The 19,934-nt window shown below is 42.4% G+C and overlaps 1 long non-coding RNA gene across 1 annotated transcript; it reads left to right on the plus strand.

Annotated features, from left to right (window-relative positions):
* Nucleotides 1–892: 892 nt before the first annotated feature.
* LINC02543 (long intergenic non-protein coding RNA 2543) lies at nucleotides 893–6,440 on the plus strand. The gene is made up of 2 exons (NR_183311.1): nucleotides 893–1,100; nucleotides 5,110–6,440. It is a non-coding gene; the product is annotated as a long intergenic non-protein coding RNA 2543 (long non-coding RNA).
* Nucleotides 6,441–19,934: the final 13,494 nt, after the last annotated feature.

The raw sequence follows: 19,934 nt of genomic DNA on the forward strand, positions 1-19,934 counted from the left end.
TGGTTATACTGAGTTGCAAGTTGTTGCATTGAAGGTTATGGATGGCGTGTCCTCTACCCTGCTTGGCAGGCTTTGCTGCAAATGCATTTTTTGTCCTTGTCACAGTAAACAGAGACATCTATATTTGAGAGTTCACTCTCATTAAGCTACTGATTTAGTTCTCTGTGAGACAACCAGGCTGGTCCTAATATATGAAAGTGTTTTAATAGTTAAATTCATTCAGGCTGGGCATAGTGGTTAATGCCTGTAATCCCAGCACTTTGGGAGATGGAGGTGGGCAAATCACCTGAGGTCAGGAGTTCAAGACTAGCCTGGCCAACATGGTGAAACCCTGTCTTTACTAAAAATACAAAAATTAGCCAGGCGTGGTGGCGCATGCCTGTAATCCCAGCTACTCGAGATGCTGAGGCAAGAGGTAGGCTGAGGCAGGAGCCTGAGCTTGAGCCCAGGAGGCGGAGGCTGCAGTTAGCCAAGATCGCCCCACTGCACTCCAGCCTGGGTGACAGAGAGACTCTGTCTCAAAAAAAAAAAAAAAAGTTAAATTCATTCATTGGACACGTATTTCTTGAGCACAGACAATGTAATAAACTCTGGAGACACAGGTTGAATAACATAAGACTCTTCCTCCAGTGGGCTTGGGAGGGAGATGGCTGGGTACACAAACAGTCACCATCTGATGTGATGAAAGCCCCGCACAATTCTGACCTTCATAAGGGGACACTTACCCTGCCCTTTCTCTCCTGTTCCAAACACGACATGAACATAGCATGACAAGATTCTCAATCTCGCTAAACACCTCATGGTATGTTTGACCTCCTATGTCATAGTTCTTTGTGATATAACAGCTTATTGCATGATTGAAGACTCATGGGTTCATTACATTGCTTATCCTCCTATCCTATCTGCAGCCTCTAGTCCAAGGCTCCCAAGGGCCCCACGATATCTGATGCATCTTAGCACAGAGCAAGCTAATGCCGACTCATGCCACATCCCCGTTACACACAAGAGGTCAGAGAGGAAGCAGGGCAGAGCAGTTTTCCTCTGAGCCAGACCTCAGAGGTGGCCGTGGTATTTTTGTTTTCCCTTCCACCAAACAAAAGGTTTGTTACACCTACAAACTTTCCACTGTAAATGAGGTTGAGACTTCATTGAGAAAGATCTGGAATGGAACAGATTAGGTTTTTAAAACCGAATTAAGCTTGAAACAAAAGTTGAGTCAACTATGATGATAATAACATTTGACCTACAAGAATGAAAGGAAACTACACAAGTAAACAAAGCCACATTTAATGATGGAGGCCTATTTGCTTTGTTTTGAAAATACAGGATTATTTTGAGCTTCAAAAGGAAATGTGCTTACGCACAATTTGAAGGTTGTAGTTTCCGTCTCAAAGAAAAATGATTGGAGATTTCACTTGGGTAAAATTTAAGAGAGCTTTGTCCTTTGAGCACCTAAAATCTTCAGAGTTAAGTTGTGATTTGTCTTTTTTGTCTGATAATGACTACAACTAATGTTAACTGAGCATTTGCCAAGGACTATGCCAATGAATTATCTCTTACTAATCAGAAACACAGCACAGTAGTGGTGAGCCAAATTTTATGTTGCTTTTGTTGTATGATAAAAGATTCAAGAGATATAAAAGAAAGAAAAATAAGGTTATCTCTGAATACAGCATGTGGCATTGCTGTTCTACTGGTAATTATGTGAAGGGCAAGATCACTTTTGAGAACATGCTCGTTACTCCTCCAAGACCACATTTAGAGTCCGCATGATCCAAGGACAGCAGCTGTGTTTGTTATCAATTCAGATTCTACTTTGTACTTTGTGGAACCCAATAATGTACCAGCAAGAAACTCGAGTCTCCTATGTTGAGAAAAATGTGACTTTGGCTGTAAGGAGGTTTCAAGAGGCAAAGATTTTTAGTCTCCCTGAACAAAATTTTGTGTTTTGTTTTTTTTTCCAGGAGAGGTTCATATCAATGCTTGGAATATCTGAAGTACAGGCATTCTGGAATTAATGAATATACCACCCATTCAAGCAAGTCAGGGAGTTGTGTTGCAAATGGGAAGGCTTCTCATGGGCCTGGAGACCAGAAGGCAATTGCAGACCCCTTCCTCTTCCCAGGGCAGCCAGCTCACCAAGCTTCTGTCACACTGGCCTCTTTCTGTTCGTCCAACACATGACTCATCTTTTGCATTGGGGCCTTTGTATCTATGTACATTCTGCCTGGAAGGCTCCTTGAACTCTGCTCTTTTTTTTTCTTAGCTCAAAAATCAAGATTTTTTTTCCCCTGACTGTCTTATCTAAAGTAGACTTTCTCAAGTTAGGGCGTCTATTCTAGTCTACAATTGTATGTTATTGCAGGTCATTATTATCTGGCTCCCTTCACCTCCATGTAAGATCCATGACAGCAGGCCCTGTGTCCCTCTTGTTCACCAGTGGGGTCCACTTGACATATAGTTGTTGCTCAATGCACGTGTGTGTGTATGTATGTGTGTGTGTGTGTATATATACACACACACATATACATACATATTATATTTTATATATACATATATATATATATATATATATTTAGAGACAGCGTCTCACTCTGCTGCCCTGGCTGGAGTGAAGTGGCATGATCATAGCTCACTGCAGCCTTGACCTCCTGGGCTCGACAAATCCTCTTGCCTCAGCCTCCTGAATAGCTGAGACTACAGATGTGCACTGCCACACCTGGCTTATTATAATTATTATTATTATTTATTTGTAGAGACAGGGTCTCGCTGTGATGCCCAGGCTAGTCTTGAACTCCAGGCCTCAAGGGATCCTCCCAACTCAGCCTCCCAAAGTACTGGGATTATAGACATGAGCCATTGCACTGGCTCAATGCATATTTATTAAGTGAATGAATGAATGAGAAGTGAATTCATGAATAAATGAATAATATGAATTTAGCTATATTAGCAAAATGGGATATTACAGGACAGCACACAAACCTTATTACTGTTGTTTCTCTGAAAAATATGCCCCCTGAGAATGCAACTTGTGAATGGGCAAGAGACTACATAAAAGGGTTAAAAAGGGCTAGGGCATCAAAAGTAGAAATAACAATATACAGACATGAAATTTGCCTCTGAAGAAGCATAAAGGAAATCTGCTTGCCTTGAATAATCTTTAAGTCTGAAAACACTTCATCTATCAAAATCCTGTCACGTGTCACTAGTTCCCACTCCCAATAACACTTTTCTTGAGAAGATAGAAATGTGCACCCACATTCTTGACTGCATCACGCTTCCTGCAAACATTGCGGGTGGAGAGACGGGAGAAAAAGCATCAGGGAAGTGTTGAAATAACTCATATTAGTGACCCCTAATTCCACAGTCAGTTTTAAGTGGGCAACTCTGTCTTCAGAAGCCTTAGGCTTTTGAATCTGTAGAAATCTGCAGCTCACAATGTAAGCTGTTGGCTACCAGGAAATGAAGGGATGAAATACTAATTTGATGAGTAGAGGAGGGAGGATGTTTGCTCATAGAGTTGTCTGCAGGTTGTGAGAGAGTGCCAGAATTTGGGCTTCTGGAGGAGGGAGAGAAGATTGGAGCAGTCTGAAAGAGAAAAACAAAGTCCTCTGGTCCTGAGACCTTCCGCCAGGGATTGAGAGGCTGGGGTAGAGGTTAGGGGCTGGAGGGAGAAGTGAGAGCTGCAGTTTGGGGAAGTTCTGGGATCTTCTGCTTCTATCCCTGCACACAGCAAGCCATTGGGATTTTCCAAAGCTTCAGGATAGATGAGACAGTGCGGCCCAGAGTCTGAAGTGGCCTCAGCTATGTAGGCAGAAATATGTTGGTGATGCCTGAAGGTTCTTGTGTGAGCATGAGAGTAAGCTGGCAGCTAATTCCCTGCCACTGAGCCTGCTCCTTCTTGTCTTAGGGTTACAGTCTTGGGTTACGGTGTCACTGACATAATCTCCAAAGATCTGATCATGTCTTCTAATGTGTCCTAAGAACCACTTGAGAGGTACCAAGTCCTGTAGAGATTCAGAGGAGGAAAAGTGCACTTCTGGCTGTGGGTCAGGAAAAGGCTCCAGGAAAGAGCTGGCTCGGAGGGATAAGGAGGCTTTTAGTGGATGGGGAAAGAAAAGCATTCAAAGATGAAACAGCGAGAGCAAAGTACAGAGGGAACGCAGAGGTGTTGTCAAAGACTGATGTGGAGACCTGCTGCATGTACTTGGGAGGAGAGGGAGGGGCTAACAGCCACTGGGAACTATGGATGGAGGCAGTGTTCTCAAGAAGAGTAAAACAGTAAAAACAAACAAACAAAAACAAAACAAAACAAAAACAGAGGCTGATGACAAAGGAGGCACTTGAAAAACACCACTTTTGCCAGGGATTGATTGGCATCACCTTCTCCTGAATGAAGTAATCATTTCTTTGACAATAGATATTTATTAAATTCCCACTACATTGCCAGGTGCCATCCTGACTTTGGGAATAAAACAAAGGCTAGTAAAGATGAAAACAAAAGTCCCTTCCTTCGTGGAGTTTACATTTCAGTGGGGAAGATAGGAAGTAAACAAATAACAAAGTCAGTCAGAAAGTGGTAAATCCTATGGAGAAGAATACAGCTCAGCCGGGGAGCAAGGGTACCGGCAGTGGCACAGAAGCCGTGTTGTCTGGGACTGTGAAAGCAGACACTCTGCCTCCCAAGGTTTCATGCACATGCTCATTCATTCATTCATGCTCTTTGCTTATATTTATTTTGCCAGGCACTGGGGCAGAGCTATAAACAAGATGAGCAAAATCTATTCCTCATGGAGCTCAGGGTCGAGTAAGCAAGTAACAAATAAATAATATCATGATAAGTAGTGGTAGTGGTCATTGTGATAGAGAAAAATAGCAGAGGAAGGAGATAAGAAGGGACGGGGGTGGGGGGTGGGTGGGGGATAGTAAGGAGATGATACTTGAGCACAGAAGGAATGAACTATGAATATCCCAGGAGGAGAAAAGCAAGGACAAATGCCCTGAGAGGCACTGAATTTTGAGTGTCACGGAATGGTAAATTCATGCATGACAATGTCTTCTCTCTCCTCTTCTTTCTTTTATATTAAACACATCTGCTTCTCGGCAAAGGATCTGTGTAAAGCAAGGCATCATCTTACTGCAAGGGGAGACATCGCTGGGGTCTGGTTAGAAGATCTGGCTCTATTTTCTCCAATGAAGGTCTTTATAGGAAATCTGCATTAGTGCCTTGTCCATGTTCATAGACCCTCTGCTTCATGGCAGAAGGGCGCTGACTTGAAGGCCCCTAAGCAGCGAAGGAAGGGGAGCCTCTGTCCCCTCCCTAGCTGGCTTCCCTGGCACATGCTGGTTTCCCTCCAATTCTGTGGTGCACATCATGACCAGCAGAGGAAAGAATTCAGCTGGACCACCTCAAGCTCTGTGTGACGGAGTTGAAAGCTTTGCTGATGTATATGTTGGTGGTCAAGGAAGGCTTTCTGAACACTTACCTGGTGCCCACAGAGGCTCTGAGAGCTGGAAGCTGGAAAGAGTCAGTCTGGGGTCCTAAAAGGTATCTTCTCTTCAGTGCCAACATCAGGGGCATATTGGTGATAGAAACAGGGTCTCTGCATGGCTACAGGCACCATTAATTGGTTCAGTTTTCTTCCATTTCTCCTGAGCTCACCCTGACCCTATGCACTGCTGACCAGGAATTCTAACCCGCAGCATCGTGGGTGGGCCCACCTTGCAGCCTCATCACGGTTGAGTTTGTTACTCTTATTGATGAAGAAACTGAGACTCAGAAGGATAAAGGCCCCGACCCAGGGTTACACAGTGGTGGGGCAAGGACATGAGCCCAGCTTCTCTCACTTAGAGGAAATCTGCAAGGACGATCATTGTGCTGAAAGAGGAGTGGGAGGGGGTCTGAACTTCTGAGGCAGCCTCGCTTCTGCAGCGTTGTCTGTGGTAAGGACACACCACCCTGGCTGCACATTAGAATCACCTGGGCAGCTTTTAAAACTTACCTCGGGCCAATTAAAACAGAATCTCTGGAGGGGAGACCCAGGCATCGGGGTTTTTTTTCCAAAACTGCCCAAATGGTTCCAATGTGTAGCCCAGATTAAGAACCACTGTTTAATGGCAAACTCAGTTGCAGCTGTTGAAAAGTTTTTTAAATGCAATAATCTTGGAATTCTCTTGTTTTAAAAAGGACTAATAGCTTGCTATTTCTTCCTTCTCTGGTCACTCCAGAGTAGTCATTTTTCAAGATAAGGACCTGGGTTAAGTGAGCATAAAAACATGAATAAAAATTAAAATAAATTACTAAGTGAGAAATAAAAGCCATGAATAATGTAACAAGGGGAAGAGCTGGAAGAACTAGGGCAGAAAGCAAAGCAGAGAAAAGAAGAAGAGGGTCACTGGGGAAGCCTCTGTGGAGTTGGAATAAAAATGGAGGAAGGAAAGCTGGTGTGTAAATCCTGTCTTTTTGATACTCGGGCCCAGTAAGTATCTAGGATACCTGAGGGATTTCAGTTCTTGCAGATGATTGACAAGCTCCAGCCACAGGCTGCCAGCATCCCGCAGAAAGAGCAGCCATGCCCAGGTCTGTACAGCGTGTTCTAGACTGAGCAGGGCACGGTGAAGAGCAGTAGAATTGCAGTCACATGGCCAGGCATGGTGGCTCACTCCTGTAATCCCAGCACTTTGGGAGGCCGAGGCAGGCAGATCACGAGCTCAGGAGTTTGAGACCAGCCTGGCCAACATAGTGAAGTCCCGTCTCTACTAAAAATACAAAAATTAGTCGGACATGGTGGCGCATGCCTGTAGTCCCAGCTACTCGGGAGGCTGAGGCAGGAGAATTGCTTGAATCCGGGAGGCAGGGGTTGTGGTGAGCCGAGATGGTACAACTGCACTCCAGCCTGGGCAACAGAGTGAGACTCTGTCTCAAAAGAAAAAAAAAAAAAAAAGACCGCACACGCATATAGGTGTCAAAAAAAAAAAAAAAAAAGAATTGTGTCACGTAAGCCCCAGGCCTTTGTATTGGAATCCAGGGGAGATGATGAGGAGGAAGGGGCCTTGTTTTGTTCGAAAAAGCCCCAGTGATTTGGTCATACTCCTTCCCTCTGCCTTCCCTTTTCTTCTCCACCCCTACACTGAGAATTACTGTCCCCACAAGGGCTCACCCGTGTGACCAGCTCTCCTGCAGGTCCAAAACAATCCAAAACTTTGTGACTAGCATATCATTTGCACCTTCCAGGCAGCTTCTGAAGGAACACACTCCCACTGGGAAGGGTGGCAGGTAATGATTCCCGGAACCTGTCACTCAATGATTGACATTAGTCTTAGTCATGGTTACCACCAAAACTTCCCCAAAGGAGGGACGTCCGGGTCCTTTGATTGACCAATAGTATATTCTCTAGGAAGATTTGCTTCCAACCAATTCCCAGCAAGCTCAAGCAATAGATGACAAAATTTTATAAACCCAAATATTTTATCAAATGGTAACCAAGTTTTGGGTCTTCGGATAACACGTTGTTTCTTAGACACAGTCCACTAAATAGAGACCTCCCCATAAATGATTTGTTTGTTTGAACTGGTGATTCTTCGTCATCAATTTATTATGGTTGAAAGTTGAGAAGGCACATACAATTGCCAGATATTTGGGGGACAATTGGAAGGCACCGAGTTTCCTAAATGACCTATATGAAATTGTAGTTGAGCTGGGGCAAGACAGTTAGGAGCATATTTGGATGAATTTTGTTCTCAGGTATTGTAAAGAGTTACGTATATGTATAGTTTTACCCCAACCTATTTGACCTGCAAAAACCTTCTTGAGGTATGGGAGTTTTGATTAACAAGTACTCATTACACTATCTGAAGACCTTGTCTGTAAATCTAGAATATATAAACAGTTACTATGAACATAGCTGAAAAGGAAAAGTTGACCCTGCAGGGCCTTCCTGCCTCCTGGATACACTCCAAGTGGCACCTTTCCCTTTGCTTTATAAAATGGCATATTCCAGAATGTTATCAAAGTGTGTCTTAAAAGATATCAACACCCTCAATGATTTACAGTGTCACTATGGTTTCTTGTAAGAAAGAAAAAAAAATCCAAATTGGCAAACTGGTATAAATGGTGCATAACAATATTTTTTTGATGGCCTAGGACAGCCAATGGGTGCCTTTAATGTGAATGGCTGCAAAGGTGCTTTCGATACCTGTGTGTAAATGTGGAAAGCCAAAGCTTTCACACCACATGGTGCAGGCCCAGCAGAAGTGGCCGTAGACTCAGAAACTCCCAAACAAACATGTAACTTAACAACTCTATCAAACTAACCAAAATGTTCCCATTGAATCATCTAAAATAAGATGAGACCTCTCTTGCCTTCACGGAATTAGTCAAGTTCCTCTCCCATATGATTACATCTCTGGCAGAAGCTCCCTTCAGGCCTAACCCACTTTTTAAAGCATGGCTGGTGTTGTATACTTGTTAGTGGGAAAGGGACACCTCTTATCTCTTAGAAATACAATCAGGTGGTGAAAAGGAGAAATAGTCATAGACCATTTGATTGGTGGCCAGGAGAAGAACGAGCCACAGGCTCAGCATTTGGATGTTTGACCAATCCCTGGGCTCAGCTAGAATAGCACAGAGAAACATGCTTGTTCAGCAGATATTCAGAATCCCCAAAGCTACCCAACCCAAAGTCAAGCCATGTTCTGGGAGTCTCGCTGATATATTTTAAATAGATTCCAGGGAAAGATCACGCCCTACCGAGAAATAGTATGAGTTGGCAAACTTTTTGTGAATAAGGGCCAGATAGTAAATTTTCTCTTTTTTTGAGATGGAGACTTGCTCTGTGCAGTGGCGCGATCTTAGTACCATATTGTGGCAGAGCATGGAAGGCGCGATCTCAGCTCACTGCATCCTCTGCCTCCCGAGTTCAAGTGATTCTCCTGCCTCAGCCTCCTGAATAGCTGGGACTGCAGGTGCCCACCATCACACCCAGCTAATTTTTTGTATTTTTAGTAGAGAATAGGGTTTCACCGTGTTAGCCAGGTTGGTCTCGATCTCCTGACCTCATGATCCGCCCACCTCAGCCTCCCAAAGTCCTGGGATTACAGGCATGAACCACTGCACCCGGCTGATAGTGAACATTTTAGGTTTTGCAGGCCACATGGTCTCTGTCACAACTATTCAATTCTACTATTGCAATGCAAAAGCAGCCACAGACTGTGTGGAAATGAATGAATGTGGCTGTAGTCTAATAAAACTTTATTTACAAAGACAGACCATGTGCCAGGTTTGGCTGAGGGCCGTAGTTTGCCAAACTCCTCTCCCTATTTATATTATTGAGAATGATCTGTGTAGGTGGAAGATGGACGTGTTCACCAAATTATAGAGTATGACTTTTAGAGGCCAGTATAGGGTAGTGGTAAAGAATATGGACTCTGAAGCCTGAATTCAGATCCTTACTCCACGAGCTGGATAACCTTGAGCAAATTATTATACCACTCTGTGCTTCATCTATATGAGGCACATACTTTTATCTATACAATGAAGTTTTAATCATCTATGAAATGAGGATAATAATAGAACTTAGTGTTATAATTTGGGTTCATCCCAAAGTGGACCCAGATAAAAGGACTTAGATAGAAGTGATTTTTTGAGAGGTGATCCCAGGAAGTACAAGTGAAGGAATAAGGGCGAGTGAGAGCGCGGGGAGAGAAGCTCTTGAAGGGGGCGTAAAGGAGCAGTCATTCTTGAGGGCAATGGAGGCACCATCATGTTGAGGACCTTCACAGTATTGTACAGGACAGGGAACTGGGATGTTTACCTGTGCACGCATGTTCCTCACTGTCATTCCATGTCAAACTGTCCACTGTGACTGCAGGTGTAATCAGGAAGTGGACTGAGGGCACATGGATGGGCAATAGTGTCTGCCACACGATTTCACAGGGCTGTTATAAAGATGACATGAATTTGTATTTGCAAAGCACATGGGGGAAAAATGCCTGGTCTTTAGGAAATGTCATTTAAGTGATTGCCAAATAAAGAGTGGGTATCCTTTGAAGCAGTAGGAAAGAATATTAGGCATAACAAAGATTAAATTGTTGAAATTTCATATCTGTAAAGGTAATATGGGTGGAACACTGAAACAAGTTCCACAATAGATTATGAAGGAACACTAGAAATGCCAGGAAACATGTAGGTAGATTATAAGCAGTGGCCTCTTCAACTCTGTAAAGTTGTCAGTCAATACCGTGTACTACATTAGCTGATGACAGTGATCCGGAGTGACCCTAGGAAGGCTGGGGACACAGGAAAACAAATAAAATGTATGCCATATTTAATCTATGCCTAGTTGTTATAATTTGGCACTGTAATTAGGCACAAATGACATGTTCTTTACATGAATTATTATAATTTGAATTACTTTTATGCAACCCTATAAAAGGTTTTTCTTTTTTTGGAGACAGTCTTGCTCTTTGCCCAGGCTGGAGTGCAGTGGCAGGATCTCGACTCACTGCAACCTCCACCTCCCGGGTTCAAGCAATTCTTCTGCCTCAGCCACCCAAGTAGCGGGGATTATAGGTGTGTGCCACCATGCCTGGCTTACTTTTGTATTTTTAGTAGAGATGGGGTTTCGCCATATTGGCCAGGCTGGTCTCAAACTCCTGACCTCAGGTGATCCACCCACCACAGCCTCCCAAAGTGCTGAAAATACAGGCATGAGCCACTGTACCCGGCCCCATTAAAAGATTCTCTTATTTGGTTAGTCCTTCAGTACCTAAAATTAGGAAAAGATTGTCCATTTTTCCTAATACAGTTTAATCGTTTCAACCACCTGTGTGCATGAATGAAAGTGTAGAAACGTAACCCACATACTCTGGCCTTTTGTTTACAACCTTCCTGACTCTCAATTCCATTCATTCTCACCCTGTCGGGTCTCTCCCACATGCCCCCATCCCTCCCCTGTTTTTCATGTGATTTTAAGGCATATGCATGTATTTCCCCTCCTCTTTTCCTGAGTGGTCTGGCTGGTGGCAGACTCTGTGTGGGGAAGTGTGCTCTTATCTTAGTACCATACTGTGGCGGAGATGAGAGAGAGAGAGAGAGATCCCTGACTCAGGAGGCGATAGGAGGAGCACAGTAGATATGAGCCCTGGCTCTTTTGTGTCTAGCAGTTCCAGGTAGATGGAAAGTGAAGGGTTGGACTTAATGAGAAATAAGGCTGTGAGAAGAAAGTGCTCAAGAAAGTTGGTTCTTGTTTCCAGGATTTCACTGCAAAAGCCTAAACAACAATCTTTGGCATGGGTCAAAGAATAAACCTACAACCACTTTCAAGAACCAGGGGAATAATCTTGAGTGGGAAGAGGAGGAAACAGCCATGCCTCCTATCCAACCTTGCCAGGCTCTTGTGTTACTGAAATAGAATAGTCTTCAGAGACACTTCCAGCATGTGTCACAGTCAAATGCTTTTGGCTGCAAGAAACAGAAACAAAACCAACTGAAAGTGGCTTAAGGTATAAGGAAATTTCGTATTACACAAAAGAAAATGTCCAAGATTGCTAAATTCATTGGTTCAAAAAATGTAATCCAGGATCCAAACTCTATTCTGCCAACCTTCATGTGTCATCCTTGTCCTCGGGCTGGCTCTCCCCACGGTTGAAGGTGTCTACTGCCTCTCTGTGTATCACAACAAACACAACCACATCCAGAGGAAGAAGAAACCGTCTTCATGTGTGCCTCTTTTAGGAGTGAGGAAAGCTTTCCCAGAAGTCACCCAGCAGACTTTCTGCCAGAACTCTTTGGTCACAATAGACTGCAAGGTCAGTCCTAAACAAGCCATGGGCAAGAGCAGGACCATCATGGCTGGCTCAGATGGATAAGAATTGACTGCCGGAGCTAGGCTGGAGCTGGTGACTCCCTTGAGTCACATCAGGGAGGAATAGGTTCCAAAGCAACTTTGGAACTCTGCCAACAAAGAAGGGGGTGGATTGAATGTTGGCTGACTACCAACAGTAGGGTTGTGAAGATGTCCTGGAGCCCCACTGATACTGTTTCTTTTTCCCAGCCTTTCCTACTTATTAGCAAATGGCTAAAGCTCCTTTGAAAAAATAAGAGCTCTTTGATGCCACAATTTCAAATGAAAAGCACTAAAGTCGGGCGTGGTGGCTCACGCCTGTAATCCCAGCACTTTGGGAGGCCAAGGCGGGCGGAGATCGAGACCATCCTGGCTAGCACAGTGAAACCCCATCTCTACTAAAAATACAAAAAATTAGCCTAGCATGGTGGTGGGCACCTGTAGTCCCAGCTGCTCGGGAGGCTGAGGCAGGAGAATGGCGTGAACCCAGGAGGCGGAGCTTGCTGTGAGCCGACAACGTGCCACTGCACCCCAGCCTGGGTGACAGAGAGAGACTCCGTCTCAAAAAAAAAAAAAAAAAGAGGAAAAGAAAAACACTGAAGTATGAATGTGGGTAGGAAGAGTGTGAGTTGGATGAGTTTCCCTTTAATTGGAAAAGTCTAACATGCAGTCTTTTCTTCTTTGGAAAGAGGAAGAGTACTAGAAATTAGAAAGGTACTTGGTACCTCAAGAGGTTGGCATAACCCTTTGTATACAAATTTATTGTAGTATTTACCATCTATTGTGGTTATTTACATATATATGTCACCCCTACCACTCTCTGAGTCCTTGATGGGCAGGGGACTACACTATTCTTCATCACATCCCTGAAACCAGGGCGGACCAGCACATATTTCCTGTCCTGCCAAGCTTCACTCATGCTCACCTTGGTAGGAACTGTGATGAGAAACACTTAGCTCCGTCTTGTAACCCAGACATACGTAAGTCTGGCTCATGCTGGTCAGATGGTTCCAGCTGACTAGGTACCTTTTCTTGCTCCCAGTTCCTGATGACATTTTCTTGAAAGAATTTGTCCACATCTAATCACCCTCTCCCCACACATATTCCTGCCCCTTACATCTTGAGTTACTGCTTCTCTCCTGCATTTTTAGTTATTTCCTCTCAATTCTTCTCCCTTTTAGGTCCCCAGCCAGCTTCAAGCTCCAGAAGACACTCCTCTGCTTTATCTTTAACTAAATGCCAGTCTATCGGTTATTTTAACATCTATTAACTACTGTAATACCACTATGGTTTTTGTCTTGGCTGCATTTGTCATTTCCTCTGATACCTTTTTCGTTAGGTTCATGTTTTCCTATTTTCCCCAACAATCTTCTCCTCCGCTGAGACCCATAGTCCCCACTGTTCTATTTCTGCCAATCACCATCTTATCTATTATACAGGAGCAGCCACCAAACTCCCATTTGCATCAACATGCAAAAGATGAATTATGTGTCCACAAAAAGGGGAACAAACACAAAAGAGGCAGTCCTGGATTTCCAAATGCCTCATACAAATGGGCAGTTGTACACGATCCCCCTGCACCCATCCCATCACACTCTTCAGTGCATATAAACTAGGAGGCTGCAGCATGCATAAATTCAATAAGTGCTTTCAGAAACCTATCAAGAAGAAATCTAATGTTCTTTTCCCTTCTACAGTTGATCCTAGTTTGTACCCATGCAAATGATGCTGATATTTAGACAACTTTAAAGGGCTTATAAAGTCCACAAAGGACTCTGACACCCAAATTAAAGTTGTATCCTTAGTTCACCTCACTGTGCAAAAGTATTGCCAAATATTTGGTGAAGTTAATCCCTATCTGACCACCTCCGCAATCACTAACCACAACAGGAGAAGTTAAAGAAATGAATTCCAGGCATGCATTATGATTTATTTGCTGTGTGAGTTTTAAGCTAAATCCTTAACTTTTGATATATATTTGATTTTCAGAATAGGCTGCAGAAGAACAAACTTAATGTAACTGCTTCACTGTAGTGTGAAAGACTGTCTCAGGCTCCTCTGAATCTGCTGTCATTTCTGTTGATTCATGAGGTTGGGTTATATTTTGCAAATTTTCTTTAATTAGTGTATATGTGTATTGTATATACGTTGCAGGTTCTTCTTTACTCCATTGTGGAGATGACTGTATAAGCTGTCAATGTCTATTCCCAGTGGTTCATGCTTTCTATTCTGCAACCAAAGAGAGAACAAGTTGATCAGCGATGTGGCAGTAATGCATATGTAAGGGCCTAGAAACCAGTGGTAAGAACATGAGTTTATGGAAACACTGCATACCAGCCCCTAAGGGAGTAATTACAGATAGACTTTGAAGCTGCTTAATAACTGGCAGCATCATAGATTTTTTGTAATCACCTGAGAAGCTGTAGATTAGCCTAATACAGTTCCAAGTACACAGAGGGTGGACAACAACCACTTGTTGAGCTGACTTGAAGCTTAAGAAGAAAGGCTGAAGCCTGTGCACATGGGAGGGGAGGAGCACCTAACCCGTTCTTAGAAATGAATGAAATCTCAGTGCTCTGTCTTCTAGCCCCTTTTGAGTTTGAAGTCAATTTTCCTAAGGTCAGTGTTTGAAGAGGAAGGAGTGGATTGGGGAAAAAGATCAAGGATGAGGTTATAAAGCTAACAACTTGAATTTACTAGGAGCTTACTATAGACCAAATACTATCATGATGAATGAAAGGAAACTCTGGACTCAGGAGCTTTAAACTAACTCTGCTATTTAATTAAAAGTCAGGAAACAACAGGTGCTGGAGAGGATGTGGAGAAATAGGAACACTTTTACACCGTTGGTGGGACTGTAAACTAGTTCAACCATTGTGGAAGTCAGTGTGGCGATTCCTCAGGGATCTAGAACTAGAAATACCATTTGACCCAGCCATCCCATTACTGGGTATATACCCAAAGGACTATAAATCATGCTGCTATAAAGACACATGCACACGTATGTTTGTTGAGGCACTATTCACTATAGCAAAGACTTGGAACCAACCCAAATGTCCAACAATGATAGACTGGATTAAGAAAATGTGGCACATATACACCATGGAATACTATGCAGCCATAACAAATGATGAGTTCATGTCCTTTGTAGGGACATGGATGAAATTGGAAATCATCATTCTCAGTAAATTATCGCAAGAACAAAAAACCAAACACTGCATATTCTCACTCATAGGTGGGAATTGAACAATGAGATCACATGGACACAGGAAGGGGAACATCACACTCTGGGGACTGTTGTGGGGTGGGGGGAGGGGGGAGGGATGGCATTGGGAGATATACCTAATGCTAGATGATGAGTTAGTGGGTGCAGCGCACCAGCGTGGCACATGTATACATATGTAACTAACCTGCACAATGTGCACATGTACCCTAAAACTTAAAGTATAATAATAAAAGAAAAAAAAAAGAAATTAATTTATAATATGTCTTCATAGTATTCAATCTACTCTGGCATTTCAAAATAAAGCGAAGCCATTTTAATTTGCTCTTATACTCAAAAACTGACGAGGAAACAATAGTAAAGGATTTTATTATGCAAGAAAAAAAAGAAGACTGTGGATATAATCAGAATTGATGTTGATTTATAAAGAAAAGAAAATTGGCCAAAGTTTAGTACAGTTGTGGACATTAATCACAATATTCTTTTTTTTTTTTTTCTTTTTGAGACAGAGTTTCACTCTTGTTGCCCGGGCTGGAGTGCCATGGAATGATCTCAGCTCACTGCAACCTCCGCCTCCTGGGTTCAAGTGATTCTCTTGCCTCAGCCTCCCAAGCAGCTGGGATTACAGGCATGCACCACCACGCCCAGCTAATTTTGTGTTTTTAATAGAGACGGGGTTTCTCCATGTTGGTCAGGTTGGTCTCAAACTCCCAACCTCAGGTGATCCACCCACCTCGGCCTCCCAAAGTGCTGGGATTACAGGCGTGAGCCACTGTGTCCGGCCTAATCACAATATTCTTGAAAATGACTTATTCCAACCAGACTGTCCTTCTCTTCTGTGGCAGGAAGAAGCAATGTGCTGTGGGCCAAACAGCAGAACAGGACTTGCTGTCTCATGTATTCCTTAACAAATATTTATTGGGTCTTATTAAGTGCCATGCACTGTACTAAACATGGAGGATATGACAATGAATGAAATGAACTCCCTATGCCTAAGTAAGTCATTGTCTGGAAGGGAACAATGTAATGTCAAGGTCAATAGAATATGAACATTTTAAGAGAGGGAAAGTATCAAGTATAAGAAGCATATAAAGGAGCATGTAGTCCAGTTTCAGGGAGGAAAGGAAGAAGAAGAAGAGGGCCATCTAAAGCAAAGACCTGGAAGAGCAGTAGAAAGCAAAGATTGGGGCAGAAACGTTTCAGAGAGAGGGAAGGAACTATTGTGCAAGGCCCCAAGTTCAGGGCTGTAGCCAGGAAGGAATGAAAACAATGGTGGAGTCACACTGGGAAATGGGATGTTGCTCTGGGCATTCAGACCATGTTCCTAAGGGCAGTAGGACAATAACCATTATTCTTTTTTTTTTTTTTTTTTGTGATTTAAAAACTACAAGTTTATATTCTTAAGCTTTTTTTTAAATTTATTATTATTATGCTTTAAGTTTTAGGGTACATGTGCACAATGTGCAGGTTAGTTACATATGTATACATGTGCCACGCTGGTGCGCTACACCCACTAACTCATCATCTAGCATTAGGTATATCTCCCAATGCCATCCCTCCCCCCTCCCCCCACCCCACAACAGTCCCCAGAGTGTGATGTTCCCCTTCCTGTGTCCATGTGTTCTCATTGTTCAATTCCCACCTATGAGTGAGAATATGCAGTGTTTGGTTTTTTGTTCTTGCGATAATTTACTGAGAATGATGATTTCCAATTTCATCCATGTCCCTACAAAGGACATGAACTCATCATTTGTTATGGCTGCGTAGTATTCCATGGTGTATATGTGCCACATTTTCTTAATCCAGTCTATCATTGTTGGACATTTGGGTTGGTTCCAAGTCTTTGCTATAGTGAATAGTGCCTCAATAAACATACGTGTGCATATGTCTTTATAGCAGCATGATTTATAGTCCTTTGGGTATATACCCAGTAATGGGATGGCTGGGTCAAATGGTATTTCTAGTTCTAGATCCCTGAGGAATCGCCACACTGACTTCCACAATGGTTGAACTAGTTTACAGTCCCACCAACAGTGTAAAAGTCTTCCTATTTCTCCACATCCTCTCCAGCACCTGTTGTTTCCTGACTTTTTAATGATCGCCATTCTAACTGGTGTGAGATGGTATCTCATTGTGGTTTTGATTTGCATTTCTCTGATGGCCAGTGATGATGAACATTTTTTCATGTGTTTTTTGGCTGCATAAATGTCTTCTTTTGAGAAGTGTCTGTTCATATCCTTTGCCCACTTTTTGATGGGGTTGTTTGTTTTTTTCTTGTAAATTTGTTTGAGTTCATTGTAGATTCTGGATATTAGCTCTTTGTCAGATGAGTAGGTTGTGAAAATTTTCTCCCATTTTGTAGGTTGCCTGTTCACTCTGATGGTAGTTTCTTTTGCTGTGCAGAATCTCTTTAGTTTAATTAGATCCCATTTGTCAATTTTGGCTTTTGTTGCCATTGCTTTTGGTGTTTTAGACTTGATGTCCTTGCCCATGCCTATGTCCTGAATGGTAATGCCTAGGTTTTCTTCTAGGGTTTTTATGGTTTTAGGTCTAACGTTTAAGTCTTTAATCCATCTTGAATTGATTTTTGTATAAGGTGTAAGGAAGGGATCCAGTTTCAGCTTTCTACATATGGCTAGCCAGTTTTCCCAGCACCATTTATTATTAAATAGGGAATCCTTTCCCCATTGCTTGTTTTTGTCAGGTTTGTCAAAGATCAGATAGTTGTAGATATGCGGCGTTATTTCTGAAGGCTCTGTTCTGTTCCATTGATCTATATCTCTGTTTTGGTACCAGTACCATGCTGTTTTGGTTACTGTAGCCTTGTAGTATAGTTTGAAGTCAGGTAGTGTGATGCCTCCAGCTTTGTTCTTTTGGCTTAGGATTGACTTGGTGATGCGGGCTCTTTTTTGGTTCCATGTGAACTTTAAAGTAGTTTTTTCCAGTTCTGTGAAGAAAGTCATTGGTAGCTTGATGGGGATGGCATTGAATCTGTAAATTACCTTGTGCAGTATGGCCATTTTCACGATATTGATTCTTCCTACCCATGAGCATGGAATGTTCTTCCATTTGTTTGTATCCTCTTTTATTTCCTTGAGCAGTGGTTTGTAGTCCTCCTTGAAGAGGTCCTTCACATCCCTTGTAAGTTGGATTCCTAGGTATTTTATTCTCTTTGAAGCAATTGTGAATGGGAGTTCACTCATGATTTGGCTCTGTGTTTGTCTGTTATTGGTGTATAAGAATGCTTGTGGTTTTTGTGCATTGATTTTGTATCCTGAGACTTTGCTGAAGTTGCTTATCAGCTTAAGGAGATTTTGGGCTGAGACAATGGGGTTTTCTAGATATACAATCATGTCATCTGCAAACAGGGACAATTTGACTTCCTCTTTTCCTAATTGAATGCCCTTTATTTCCTTCTCCTGCCTGATTGTCCTGGCCAGAACTTCCAACACTATGTTGAATAGGAGTGGTGAGAGAGGGCATCCCTGTCTTGTCCCAGTTTTCAAAGGGAATGCTTCCAGTTTTTGCCCATTCAGTATGATATTGGCTGTGGGTTTGTCATAGATAGCTCTTATTATTTTGAAATACGTCCCATCAATACCTAATTTCTTGAGAGTTTTTAGCATGAAGGGTTGTTGAATTTTGTCAAAGGCCTTTTCTGCATCTATTGAGATAATCATGTGGTTTTTGTCTTTGGTTCTGTTTATATGCTGGATTACATTTATTGATTTGCGTATATTGAACCAGCCTTGCATCCCAGGGATGAAGCCCACTTGATCATGGTGGATAAGCTTTTTGATGTGCTGCTGGATTCGGTTTGCCAGTATTTGATTGAGGATTTTTGCATCAATGTTCATTAAGGATATTGGTCTAAAATTCTCTTTTTTGGTTGTGTCTCTGCCCGGCTTTGGTATCAGGATGATGCTGGCCTCATAAAATGAGCTAGGGAGGATTCCCTCTTTTTCTATTGATTGGAATAGTTTCAGAAGGAATGGTACCAGTTCCTCCTTGTACCTCTGGTAGAATTCGGCTGTGAATCCATCTGGTCCTGGACTCTTTTTGGTTGGTAAGGTATTGATTATTGCCACAATTTCAGATCCTGTTATTGGTCTATTCAGAGATTCAACTTCTTCCTGGTTTAGTCTTGGGAGGGTGTATGTGTCGAGGAATTTATCCATTTCTTCTAGATTTTCTAGTTTCTTTGCATAGAGATGTTTGTAGTATTCTCTGATGGTAGTTTGTATTTCTGTGGGATTGGTGGTGATATCCCCTTTATCATTTTTTATTGCATCTATTTGATTCTTCTCTCTTTTTTTCTTTATTAGTCTTGCTAGCGGTCTATCAATTTTGTTGATCCTTTCAAAAAACCAGCTCCTGGATTCATTAATTTTTTGAAGGGTTTTTTGTGTCTCGATTTCCTTCAGTTCTGCTCTGATTTTAGTTATTTCTTGCCTTCTGCTAGCTTTTGAATGTGTTTACTCTTGCTTTTCTAGTTCTTTTAATTGTGATGTTAGGGTGTCAATTTTGGATCTGTCCTGCTTTCTCTTGTGGGCATTTAGTGCTATAAATTTCCCTCTACACACTGCTTTGAATGCATCCCAGAGATTCTGGTATGTTGTGTCTTTGTTCTCGTTGGTTTCAAAGAACATCTTTATTTCTGCCTTCATTTCGTTATGTACCCAGTAGTCATTCAGGAGCAGGTTGTTCAGTTTCCATGTAGTTGAGCGGTTTTGAGTGAGATTCTTAATCCTGAGTTCTAGTTTGATTGCACTGTGGTCTGAGAGATAGTTTGTTATAATTTCTGTTCTTTTACATTTGCTGAGGAGAGCTTTACTTCCAAGTATGTGGTCAATTTTGGAATAGGTGTG

The sequence above is a fragment of the Homo sapiens genome, chromosome 6 (assembly GCF_000001405.40).
Source record: "Homo sapiens chromosome 6, GRCh38.p14 Primary Assembly".
Taxonomy (NCBI): domain Eukaryota; kingdom Metazoa; phylum Chordata; class Mammalia; order Primates; family Hominidae; genus Homo; species Homo sapiens.